General features: G+C 39.3%; 1 protein-coding gene across 5 annotated transcripts in view; it reads left to right on the forward strand.

The window, feature by feature from the left end:
• GHR (growth hormone receptor) overlaps positions 1 to 13926 on the forward strand; it is a 298440-nt gene that overhangs the window by 54216 nt on the left and 230298 nt on the right. The window contains exon 2 of one of the 5 annotated variants that reach the window (NM_001242401.4): positions 5583 to 5675. The exons of the other annotated variants lie outside the window; for them this stretch is intronic. The gene's annotated coding sequence lies outside the window, so the exon portion shown is untranslated. The remainder of the gene's footprint in view (positions 1 to 5582; positions 5676 to 13926) is intronic. 5 annotated transcript variants of the gene reach the window in all.

Raw genomic sequence — 13926 nt, forward strand, 5'->3', positions numbered from 1 at the left:
GTGTTTTTTGGCTGCATAAATGTCTTCTTTTGAGAAGTGTCTGTTCATATCCCTCACCCACTTTTTGATGGGGTTGTTTGTTTTTTTCTTGTAAATTTGTTTGAGTTCATTGTAGATTCTGCATATTAGCCCTTTGTCAGATGAGTACATTGCAAAAATTTTCTCCCATTCTGTAGGTTGCCTGTTCACTCTGATGGTAGTTTCTTTTGCTGTGCAGAAGCTCTTGAGTTTAATTAGATCCCATTTGTCAATTTTTGCTTTTGTTGCCATTGCTTTTGGTGTTTTAGACATGAAGTCCTTGCCCATGCCTATGTCCTGAATGGTATTGCCTCGGTTTTCTTCTAGGGTTTTCATGGTTTTAGGTCTAACATGTAAGTCTTTAATCCATCTTGAATTAATTTTTGTATAAGGTGTAAGGAAGGGATCCAGTTTCAGCTTTCCACATATGGCTAGCCAGTATTCCCAGCACCATTTATTAAATAGGGAATCCTTTCCCCATTTCTTGTTTTTGTCAGGTTTGTCAAAGATCAGATAGTTGTAGATATGCGGCATTATTTCTGAGGGCTCCGTTCGGTTCCATTGGTCTATATATCTGTTTTGGTACCAGTACCATGCTGTTTTGGTTACTGTAGCCTAGTAGTATAGTTTGAAGTCAGGTAGCATGATGCCTCCAGCTTTGTTCTTTTGGCTTAGGATTGACTTAGCGATGCAGGCTCTTTTTTGGTTCCATATGAACTTTAAAGTAGTTTTTTCCAATTCTGTGAAGAAAGTCATTGGTAGCTTGATGGGGATGGCATTGAATCTATAAATTACCTTGGGCAGTATGGCCATTTTCACAATATTGATTCTTCCTACCCATGAGCATGGAATGTTCTTCCATTTGTTTGTATCCTCTTTTATTTCCTTGAGCAGTGGTTTGTAGTTCTCCTTGAAGATGTCCTTCACATCCCTTGTAAGTTGGATTTCTAGGTATTTTATTCTCTTTGAAGCAATTGTGAATGGGAGTTCACTCATGATTTGGCTCTCTGTTTGTCTGTTGTTGGTGTATAAGAATGCTTGTGATTTTTGCATATTGATTTTGTATCCTGAGACTTTGCTGAAGTTGCTTATCAGCTTGAGGAGATTTTGGGCTGAGATGATGGGGTTTTCTAGATATATAATCATGTCCTCTGCAAACAGGGACAGTTTGACTTCCTCTTTTCCTAATTGAATACCCTTTATTTCCTTCTCCTGCCTCATTGCCCTGGCCAGAACTTCCAACACTATGTTGAATAGGAGTGGTGAGAAAGGGCATCCCTGTTTTGTGCCCGTTTTCAAAGGGAATGTTTCCAGTTTTTGCCCATTCAGTATGATATTGGCTGTGAGTTTGTCATAGATAGCTCTTATTATTTTGAGATATGTCCCATCATTACCTAATTTACTGAGAGTTTTTAGCATGAAGCATTGTTGAATTTTTACAAAGGCCTTTTCTGCGTCTATTGAGATAATCATGTGGTTTTTGTCTTTGGTTCTGTTTATATGCTGGATTACATTTATTGATTTGCATATGTTGAACCAGCCTTGCATCCCAGGGATGAAGCCAGCTTGATCATGGTGGATAAGCTTTTTGATGTGCTGCTGGATTCGGTTTGCCAGTATTTTATTGAGAATTTTTGCATCAATGTTCATCAAGGATATTGGTCTAAAATTCTCTTTTTTGGTTGTGTCTCTGCCAGGCTTTGGTATCAGGATGATGCTAGCCTCATAAAATGAGTTAGGGAGGATTCCCTCTTTTTCTATTGATTGGAATAGTTTCAGAAGGAATGGTACCAGCTTCTCCTTGTACCTCTGGTAGAATTCGGCTGTGAATCCATCTGGTCCTGGACTTTTTTTGGTTCGTAAGCTATTCATTATTGCCTCAATTTCAGAGCCTGTTATTGGTCTATTCAGAGATTCAACTTCTTCCTGGTTTAGTCTTGGGAGGATGTATGTGTCGAGGAATTTATCCATTTCTTCTAGATTTTCTAGTTTATTTGCGTAAAGGTGTTTATAGTATTCTCTGATGGTAGTTTGTATTTCTGTGGGATTGGTGGTGATATCCCCTTTATCATTTTTTATTGCGTCTATTTGATTATTCTCTCTTTTCTTCTTTATTAGTCTTGCTAGCATTCTATCAATTTTGTTGATCTTTTCAAAAAACCAGCTCCTGGATTCATTAATTTTTTTGAATGGTTTTTTGTGTCTCTATTTCCTTCAGTTCTGCTTTGATCTTAGTTATTTCTTGCCTTCTGCTAGCTTTTGAATATGTTTGCTCTTGCTTTTCTAGTTCTTTTAATTGTGATGTTAGGGTGTCAATTTTGGATCTTTCCTGCTTTCTCTGGTGGGCATTTAGTGCTATAAATTTCCCTCTGCACACTGCTTTGAATGTGTCCCAGAGATTCTGGTATGTTGTGTCTTTGTTCTTGTTGCTTTCAAAGAACATCTTTATTTCTGCCTTCATTTTGTTATGTACCCAGTAGTCATTCAGGAGCAGGTTGTTCAGTTTCCATGTAGTAGAGCGGTTTTGAGTGAGTTTCTTAATCCTGAGTTCTACTTTGATTGCACTGTGGTCTGAGAGACAGTTTGTTATAATTTCTGTTCTCTTACATTTGCTGAGGAGTGCTTTACTTCCAAGTATGTGGTCAATTTTGGAATAGGTGTGGTATGGTGCTGAAAAGAATGTATATTCTGTTGATTTGGGGTGGAGAGTTCTGTAGATGTCTATTAGGTCCACTTGGTGTAGAACTGAGTTCAATTCCTGGGTATCCTTGTTAACTTTCTGTCTCGTTGATCTGTCTAATGTTGACATTGGGGTGTTAAAGTCTCCCATTATTATTGTGTGGGAGTCTAAGTCTCTTAGTACGTCACTAAGGACTTGCTTTATGAATCTGGGTGCTCCTGTATTAGGTGCATATATATTTAGGATAGTTAGCTCTTCTTGTTGAATTGATCCCTTTACCATTATGTAATGGCATTCTTTGTCTCATTTGATCTTTGTTGGTTTAAAGTCTGTTTTATCAGAGACTAGGATTGCAACCCCTGCCTTTTTCTGTTTTCCATTTGCTTGGTAGATCTTCATGCGTCCCTTTATTTTGAGCCTATGTGTGTCTCTGCATGTGAGATGGGTTTCCTTAATACAGCACGCTGATGGGTCTTGACTCTTTATCCAATTTGCCAGCCTGTGTCTTTTAATTGGAGCATTTAGCCCATTTACATTCAAAGTTAATATCATTATGTGTGAATTTGATCCTGTCATTATGATGTCAGCTGGTTATTTTGCTCATTAGTTGATGCAGTTTCTTCCTAGCCTTGATGGTCTTTACAATTTGGCATGTTTTTGCAGTGGCTGGTACCGGTTGTTCCTTTCCATGTTTAGTGCTTCCTTCAGGAGCTCTTTTAGGGCAGGCCTGGTGGTGACAAAATCTCTCAGCATTTGCTTGTCTGTAAAGTATTTTATTTCTCCTTCACTTATGAAGCTTAGTTTGGCTGGATATGAAATTCTGGGTTGAAAATTCTTTTCTTTAAGAATGTTGAATATTGGCCCCCACTCTCTTCTGGCTTGTAGAGTTTCTGCCGAGAGATTAGCTTTTAGTCTGATGGGCTTCCCTTTCTGGGTAACCTGACCTTTCTCTCTGGCTGCCCTGAACATTTTTTCCTGCATTTCAACTTTGGTGAATCTGCCAATTATGTGTCTTGGAGTTGCTCTTCTCGAGGAGTATCTTTATGGCGTTTTCTGTATTTCCTGAATTTGAATGTTGGCCTGCCTTGCTAGATTGGGGAAGTTCACCTGGATAATATCCTGCAGAGTGTTTTCCAACTTGGTTCCATTCTCCCCGTCACTTTCAGGTACACCAATCAGACGTAGATTTGGTCTTTTCACATAGTCCCATATTTCTTGGAGGCTTTGTTCATTTCTTTTTATTCTTTTTTCTCTAAACTTCTCTTCTCGCTTCATTTCATTCATCTTCCATCACTGATACCCTTTCTTCCAGTTGATCTCATCGGCTACTGAGGCTTCTGCATTTGTCACGTAATTCTCGTGCCTTGGTTTTCAGCTCCATCAGGTCCTTTAAGGACTTCTCTGCATTGGTTATTCTAGTTATACATTCATCTAATTTTTTTTCAAAGTTTTTAACTTCTTTGCCATTGGCTCAAACTTCCTCCTGTAGCTCGGATTAGTTTGATCGTCTGAAGCCTTCTTCTCTCAAGTCATCAAAGTCATTCTCCATCCATCTTTGTTCCATTGCTGGTGAGGAGCTGCTTTCCTTTGGAGGAGGAGAGGCACTCTGATTTTTAGAGTTTCCAGTTTTTCTGCTGTTTTTTCCCCATCTTGGTGGTTTTATCTACCTTTGGTCTTTGATGATGGTGACGTACAGATGGGTTTTTGGTGTGGATGTCCTTCCTGTTCATTAGTTTTCCTTCTAACAGACAGGACCCTCAGCTGCAGGTCCATTGGAGTTTGCTAGACGTCCACTCCAGACCCTGTTTGCCTGGGTATCAGCAGCGGTGGCTGAAGAACAGCGGATATTGGTGAACCGCAAATGCTGCTGCCTGATCGTTCCTCTGGAAGTTTTGTCTCAGAGGAGTACCCAGCCGTGTGAGGTGTCAGTCCACCCCTGCTGGGGGGTGCCTCCCAGTTAGGCTACTCAGGGGTCAGGGACCCACTTGAGGAGGCAGTCTGCCTGTTCTCAGATCTCAAGCTGCGTGCTGGGAGAACCACTACTTTCTTCAAAGCTGTCAGACAGGTACATTTAAGTCTGCAGAGGTTACTGCTGTCTTTTTGTTTGTCTGTGCCCTGCCCTCAGAGAGGGAGCCTACAGAGGCAGGCAGGCCTCCTTGAGCTGTGGTTGGCTCCACCCAGTTCGAGCTTCCTGGCCGCTTTATTTACCTAATCAAGTCTCAGCAATGGTGGGCGCCCCTCCCCCAGCCTCGCTGCCGCCTTGCAGTTCAATCTTAGACTGCTGTGCTAGCAATGAGCGAGACTCCATGGGCATAGGACCCTCCGAGCCAGGTGCGGGATATAATCTCCTGGTGTGCCATTTTTTAAGCCCATTGGGAAAGTGCAGTATTAGGGTGGGAGTGACCTGATTTTCCAGGTGCCGTCTGTCACCCCTTTCTTTGACTAGGAAAGGGAATTCCCTGACCTCTTGCGCTTCCCAGGTGAGGCGATGCCTCGCCCTGCTTTGGCTCGCACTCGGTGTGCTGCACCCACTGTCCTGCACCCACTGTCTGGCACACCCCAGTGAGATGAACCCGGTACCTCAATTGGTAATGCAGAAATCACCCGTCTTCTGTGTCACTTATGCTAGGAGCTGTAGACTGGAGCTATTCCTATTTGGCCATCTTGGCTCCTCCCCCAGATCACACACTTGTGATTCTTGCTGGCATTCACACTTACTCTCTCTTTATTTTTTGAGACAGGGTCTCACTTTGTCATCCAGGCTGGAGTGCAGTGGTGCCATCTCAGCTCACTGCAGCCTCCACCTCTGGAGCTCAAGGGATTCGAGTAGCTAGGACTACAGGCGTGTACCTCCACCCCTGGCTAATTTTTGTATTTTTTGTAGAGCTGGGGTTTTGCCATGTTGCCCAGGCTGATCTCCAACACCTGGGATCAAGCAGTCTGCCCACCTTGGCCTCCCAAAGTGCTGAAATTACAGGTATGAGCCTCCATGGCTGGGCACTTACTGTCTTTTTAATTATCAGCTTGCAAATGAGAAATCTGCCCAAGGAGCCTGAGCTTGGTGAATACAAGTTCATTTCAGCCCCATTGGTGAGTTTATGATTCTATGAGACTTTAAAGATGTATTTTATTTGGACATGTTAAAAAAAAAAAAAAAGAACCGTGTGTTTCTTCACAACATCCAAAATAATTATTTTATTGGTATTGATAATTATTATTGAGGAATAGGGAAGTCATGTATGTTATCAACCACTTCCTAAATGATACCTAGTTAACACGTTAGGGGAGGGAATCGAATCTGAAAGTGATACCCATTTAGTGAAGCCAAGCAATGTAGCAAGAGTTGAGAAAAACTTATAAAGGGACCTCTTAGCCCATGTCCATAACATTGTCGTTAACATAAAGATAGGTTGCCAGAGAAAGGGTAACTGTATGGTCAATTTAGCCAGGTCTGAACTCTCAAAAATCAAGCACTCTCATTCTGTTAGGGTGAAGTCAGAGAAAAGAACCTTCACAAGGTTTGAAAACACAGTTGTAACATACTGGGCTGTGTTCCAGGGCTAGCATTTGACTCTGATTTTTATCTTGTGCTTAGAACCAGCCTACTGTTGTCTCTGTGCAGAGAGAGTACTAAGTAGGTACTGAATAATACTTGCTGTCCAGCACATAGCTCTGTGCAGAACGAGCACTAAGTAGGTACTTAATAATGCTTGCTGGCCAGCACATGGATGGATCATGTTTATAAGTGTGTATCATAAACACTTTGCCTTGAGGAAATTGTTTTCTTTTTAGAGTTTTCATACTGTGGACATCCTTAAAAAGCCCAGAAAATGTATCTTTATGGATTGACATGTGACTTCTTACATATGAAGTTAGAAGCCAATGAAATGCTGTTCTTTGGACTGAACTTTCAAGACTCATGTGTGTGGTGTCTAATTCATTAACTAAAAATATGATTCATATTTACCTTATGTAGGACTACAGGTATCCACATATCCACCATTAGGATATTCTTTAAATCTGGTAGTTTGGAAGATTTCCAGACATTGTAAAGAGTAAATGCATCAGAAATAAGCATTTTCCAGAAGAGGGAGGTATGAAATTGTAATGATTAGCCTGTTGCTTAGTCCTGGAAATGTGAAATCAGATAAAAATGAAAAAGATGCTTTCCTTGCATTCTCTTCCAGAAATATGCAGCCTGCTGCTCTTTTGTCTTCAGTGTGACCATGCTGCCCTGAGGAGAGCCCAGAACTGTTTTTAAATTCAAAAGGACAGCTGCTTTCTGCTCACTCAGGTCCACTGAGGCATGCTCCAAGACAGGAAAAAGGTGCTTAGCGGGGCTCTTTGATAGAGATTCAATATATGAATTTTACTTTGAGAATAAAAAGCTCACCCACTTTTAAAAGGTTAATCAAAAGCTCATTGTAGTGTATTCTTCCTTTCCTATGCAGTTTCCTATGGAAATGGAATCAGTTTAAATTCTGGCCTCAGAACAGCAATATTTTTCACAGAGGCAGTCCTTCTGCCAAGTGGCTCTAGAAGTACCCGTAATATCCATGTCAGGAGTATGAAAAATGAAAGGGATGAACACTTCCTTCAGAAATTATACCTTTGATTCCTTTACTTTACGGCCAGGCAGGAAGAATCCTGAGAGAGGTCTTTACTGAAAGTTCAGTATTTATGAACTACATACTGAAAAATGAAAAACGATTCCTAGCACTGAGTTGCTTACCCTGTCAAGTTTACCCATTATTTTCAGGCTGTTGAGCATTGTTTGAAAAATCGATCTGAGAGCTAAATGAGACTCTGTCCCTTACCATGGTCTTGCTGTTATAAATTCACACTGGGCTATTTCCATTCCCTAAGTTTGCTTTGCCCTTTCCTACCCTTTACCTCTATGGTCTTCCATCCGGTAAATTTTCTCTCACCCTTCCTGGTCTAGCTCTATTTCATCTTCACTTATGAAGGCTTCCTTGTTTTCCTTTTTTAGAATTAATTGCTAATTCCTCACTGCTCTCTAAGCATTAATACCCCCATCATAGCCTTCATCATAATATGTTTTGTGCTGTAGTTATTTATGTACTTACTTGTTTTTCCCCCTTCTTTGCTCTTTGATTAAATGCATGCCAGATCCAACTTTACAGATGAGAAAAATGAGCTCTGAAGTTCAATAACTTGCCCAAGGCTACCCAGTTAGAAGAGTTATGGACTTCACTCTGAATATGGTGACTTTTGTTCTAGTGTGTTGCCTTCTCTAGTCTTCTTAAGAAAAACCTTGTCTTCTTTTCTTTTTTCCTTAGGTTGACTTATTCTATACATTAGAAGTTTCTAAATTTTAATCAAACTGTCATTCCAGGGTCATAGTCAGCCACATGTAAATCAGAATGCAGTTTTACATAGATTCATTATTACTGTGCATGGAGATTAGAAGCCAGCTCACAAGAAGACTTAATTTGGAAAGATATGTAACCAACTTCACGTAAGTGCTAGCCTTTCATTGATTTCTCACCTCCATTCTATATTCCTCCTGGCACTTGTTTTAAATCTGTTCTACTGAAGTCCATACTCTACCCCCTTGCTCTCAGCCGATGATCTGTTTACCTGCTCTGAGAAGATTTAGATCAGTAGTTCTCAAACTTTAATATGTATAAAAATCACATGCAGAGCTCTTTCTAACATAGTTTCCCGGGACTTTTCCCAGGAATTCTGATTTCAGCAGGTCAGGGTGGGGCTCATGAATGCTCCATTCTAACAAGCTCCCAGGTGATGGCAACACAGCTGGTCTGAGGACTACACTTTGAGAACCTCTGATTTAGGCCATCCTCTGCAATAGGATGTCTTCTCCAATACATCTTCTCTGGATATTTATCCTTCCTCTCCTTCTATGAGAATTCAGTCGTTCTATTCTCAGGCTGAACCCTCTCACCACGAGCTTTTATCCCATCTCATTTCATCTATTTCAGGACCTTGCTTCAACTTGGCTCTCTTTGAATCTTTTATATCACCCTCTCAATTGCTTTTTATTCTCTACTGCTTTACTAATAAAACTGTTCCTTTCTCAGTTGTACTATTTAAGATACATCTAATGATTGTAAGCAAAATTATTTTCTCTAAGAATGGTCGACAATTTCAGATTCAACTCAGCTGGCTAGGAACTAAGTTTCTGTAATTTGGGAATTGGCTTGTAGAGAGCAAAATTAAGAAACCAAGTTTGGCCGGGCACGGTGGCTTACGCCTGTAATCCCAGCACTTTGGGAGTCCGAGGCAGGTGGATCACGATGTCAGGAGATCGAGACCATCCTGGCTAACACGGTGAAACCCCGTCTCTACTAAAAATACAAAAAATTAACCGGGCGTCGTGGCGGGCACCTGTAGTCCCAGCTACTCGGGAGGCTGAGGCAGGAGAATGGTGTGAACCCAGGAGGCGGAGCTTGCAGTGAGCGGAGATCGCGCCACTGCACTCCAGCCTGGGCGACAGAGCGAGACTCCGTCTCAAAAAAAAAAAAAAAAAGAAACCAAATTTAACTTTTTTTAATGGATGTGAGTGGAAGAGACTAATGAGATAACACAAAAGAGTTAACTTCTTACATTTCTGTAGTCTAATACGAGATAGTTTCTCCAGGAATTAACACAGCACATCTGGTTCACTGACCTGAGTTTGTTTCCTGGTGAGGCATTGCAGTATCATCCATATCTCAGGCAAAGGTACTCCAGCATTTTGTAGTTAAGCAGTTGGAGGAGGAGTAGGGAGAACTGCTGTACTTTGAAACATTTCACAGTGGACTACTTTGCATTCTAATGATGTTCTCCTTACTTAAGGACTTTGTTATGTAAGGATACTTTGTCCTTCTGATAATCACTTACACTTTTCTTCTGTGTTCATGTCACTTCATTAATCCTGATTACTTGTAATGAATCATAATCTTACCCACTTATTCTTGTGTGACTCATTCCTACTTGTATTCTTAATAGTATTTTCTATGTCTGATAACACATTGTCAATTGACTATGCTATTTTTAACGTAAGCGTTGGCAAAAAGGTTTACTTAGAGAAAAGCTCTACATTTAATTCCCCGGTGCCTCAGTTCCCAAATTTGCTAATAAAGATTATACTTAGCTGTCACTCCACGTTTCATCAGTAGGATTAAAATGAATAGAGATCATGAAATAAGACAATGAAAAAAGATAATTATAATGGACCAGATTGAGAAATCCCTACAAATCAACAGAAGCGACCTGCCATGTCAGATTCCTAGATGCAGTTTATTTACTCAGTGGGCCATATTTCTTCCTTATTCTTTCTTTTTCCATGATGCCTTCCAAAACTATATTTTAACCAGGAGGGAAATACCATTTGTCTTCTGATATAGGAAGATCCTACTGAGAGATTATATTCATATATTTCGTCCATCGGCCTGTAGGTGGAATTGTATTTAAAATACTAATAAAGGTTATTATTGCTTATATATCTAAAAATGCTCCAACTGTCCAAACAAAGCTTATACTGTTGATGATATTTATCAGTGGCTCTGAACACTTGCATATCATAAAATTCTCCCTCAAAATTTAACCTTAAACTCTTTCAGGCTTGTCTTGGTCACAGTGGGAACTGAGGACAGCTGCTCATGTTTTTTGATAGAACAGCTCTTAACATGCTTTTGCTCTTGCCTCCCACTGCCCAACACCAGCTGCATACACACAGTCTACTTGCTGTGTGCATGCTCTGGCTCCTGTCTCCTTTTCCTTCAGCCTAGTTAGCCTGGTTTTGTTTGGTTTCATCATACAATGTATCTATTAGTAAAACTTTTATGAACTCTGATTATAGTACTAAACTCATAATAAAGTAATCAGAACTTCATTTATTAAAACACTGTCTTGAGCTTATTTTTTAATTTAGTACACATGACAATTTGGTAAGGTAGGAATTTTCATTCCCCTTTTATAGATGGGAAAACTGAGGTCCAGGATATAGGTAACATTTTCAAAGTTAACTCGTAAGTAAATGGCTTAGCTGGAATTTGAACCCAGGTTTCTGCAATTCTAAAGCCCATCCTTTTAACTGCTATGCTATGCGCACAATTACTGTATTCTTATTTGCTCTCTGAAATACAACACCTTATTCTCATTTCATCTGCTCTTTCTGCCCTGTACACTTCAGTTTCTGCTCTATAGATACCTGCTCGTATTGTGACATCTCAATTTTTTTTGTACCTTGGCAGGGTTTTGATTGATGTATTGGTGTTCTGAACTCTTTAGCATATGTATTAATAGGGAAGACCTACCAAATATTTCATGTAATAGGGATTATTTTGTCTACCTATTTTATCTTTCTTTATAATGTAAGTTTGTAGAGGGCAGAAACTATAAATTGCTCAGTTAGGGACTCCACATTGAGCCAAGCACATACATACTTGACCCAGAGAAGTCATCACCATCTTTATCGCCACAGCTAACATATGGGTAGTGCTCACCATCTACCAAACATGTGCATGGATTATTTTATTTACTCTTCACAATAACCCTATAAAGTAGACTATGTTGCCATCCCCAAGGTTAAAAAACTAGCCCAAGTTCATCGAGTTACTGCATGATAGAGTTTGAGTCTAACCAACACCAATCTACACGTCTGTCAACACAGTTAACTATCCCACACTTCTCAGTGGAATCTAGAGTTCCACTTATTTCCTATTCCTTCCATTCTTCACTATATGTCCTCTTTGCCTTCTTATCCTGTTTCTCTACTTCTCACTTTCTGCCCTATACGTATCTGCTCAATCTTCAATCTTCTCTGCCTTACCCTCTCTTTTTCAATTTTGTTCTCGTTCTGTCCTATCCTGCCTCCCCACTCTTCTTACCTCATTTTCCTAGTCCTCTTTTCTTCTTTTTTTCACCTTTTTACCTCTTACATATTTCTTTTTTAAAAGTAACTTCAAGCTTGATAATAGATTCTTCAACGCTCTTAGCAATATCGTATCCTAACCATAATAAAATGATAGTGTGCTAGGTGTAAACAGAAGTAGAATATGAAATTGAAATGAAGAATCTCTTTACTTTTTCTATTAGAAACATAAATAATGAGTGACTGTAACATCTTGGTCTCCATAATTTCTAAGTGTTAAATAAAACACATTTCTTTTTTTATTTAACACACACACATCCACACACACATAAACTTGTTTTATGCATTGATTGCCATTTATTGAGCAGCATATTTTTGGAAATGCAACAACTACAAAAGAATTTTTAAGTTATTATCATACAGTGACATTAATAGGCTCATCACTTTGCCTTCTTTCCTTGTTCTATCATGTAGAGGGTTGCTTTAGAGATCATTGTGTATTGATATGAATTATCATTGAAGTTTTATTAGTCTGGATGTCTCATCTTGGGCATTTTGATAAATTTCTTTTGCTCCAAATCCAGAAGTTATGGCCATTCATCTTTATAAATAAGACTTTTTAAAAAAGGTAAAGTCATAAAATAAATATTTCAAAGCAGTGTTGGATATAGCCAGCTGAATAAACTGCCCTTTCTAGTTAACTTTGAACTCTAAACCTTATTTAAATATCCTCCCTTTTTTTCTGTAAAGAAGACGAGAAAAAAAAACAATTTCAGTAGATTCTAAAAGAAAATATAGCAAGAACATTTTCATAAGAGATATCTCACATAAAAAGCTGTAAAAATTGGGCAAGTATTTGCACCTAACCAGTAGAACTTAGAAGAGAAAACATGAAATGAACTTCTTAGCTTATGGAATGGTGTGGATAGGTTTGCATTACTTAGATGTTCACAGAGCTCTAGCATTTACTTACTGAAACACTGGAATGGTTCATATCCCTGTGGTTTCCACCTTATTTCTTCCAGAAGGATTAGGTTTTATGCTGCCAGAGACCACATTGACTCTTAGTAATGGGATCACTAAATTCTGGTTCACAATTTTGTGCATAGAGAGATTGCACTAATATCTCAAAATTGTAGCTATGATTATAACCCTGGCATAGAAATCTGAGCTATGCTGGCAGTGTCATGCTGTACAATCGAATCCACCTGATTATCTCTGCATTTGTGACAGCTGGGCTGGCCTTCATTGGCATATGCCTCTTTGCTGTGCCCAGGGCTTTGAATGCAAAATGAAAGATCAGCATGATATTAGGGGCCCATGATCCATAGATGGAGCTTCACAAGTGAACAGCGTCTCAGCTTTAACATGGCCCCCAGTATCCTGCTTTATCTTTCTGGACTGAAGTTCCTATGACAGATTTGTTGCTTTAAAAAAGTAATTTTGCAGATTTGTCCTTTTTTAAAAGAAATAAAGATTGCCTTCCATTTCCTACTGAAAGTGATATGGTAGTATCCATCTTATAATTGCACAGATTCAAAAATAAGCCACAAGTATGTGTGCTGAAGTATAACTGTGGACTATAAAATACAGATATCATAGCCTATAATATGGAGGGTAGTGTGATGTTATAAAGCCATTTTTCTGTGTTTTACATTATCATAAAATTTAACTACTGAAGGGAAAGTGAAGGTTTTAATATTTAACTAAGCCTAGCACTTGAAGAGAAACACATATATTTTACTTGGAAAAAAAGGAAGTTCCATTTTGGACACTGCAAATGACAGTGCCAGCTGTTGTCATAATATTTCTAACATCCGCTGAGGATTAATTCCAGGCCCAGCAAATTCACTGGATGAGCAGAAACAGCCAAAGAAGTAAACACTGGAGCTTATGCTGTGATATTATTAAATTAGGCATGAGACTTCTACAGAGTTGGATATGTAGTGAACACTGGATTATCATGCCTGAGGATCGTTTGCTTTGTGTATATCTGCAGAAAATTGAATCCTGAACTTGCTTTCTTCTGCCTCTTGGCCCTCTTCCTCTGTAGAGGTATACTCAGAAAATGTGATCTCATTTGAATATAAACTTTTCTATTAATATTCATTAAGTACTCATACAATATAAGCTGAGGAAACAAAGTGGTGGGTGTAAAACACAGGCCTCATGTAAAGAGCTTACTTTCACTACAGAGGCAATGTAGCATAATGAAGCAGAGATGGGTTTCAGAGGCAGGTAGACCAGAATTCAAATCCTACTTCTCCTAAGTATGGCCTTGGGCCCATCACTTAAATTTCTGAGACTCAGTTTCCTTTTCTATGAAAGGTAGATACTAATCATGCTACAGAGTTCTATTAAGAATTAGAAATATTTAAAGATACTTAGA

This window comes from Homo sapiens, chromosome 5 (genome assembly GCF_000001405.40).
Source record: "Homo sapiens chromosome 5, GRCh38.p14 Primary Assembly".
Taxonomy (NCBI): domain Eukaryota; kingdom Metazoa; phylum Chordata; class Mammalia; order Primates; family Hominidae; genus Homo; species Homo sapiens.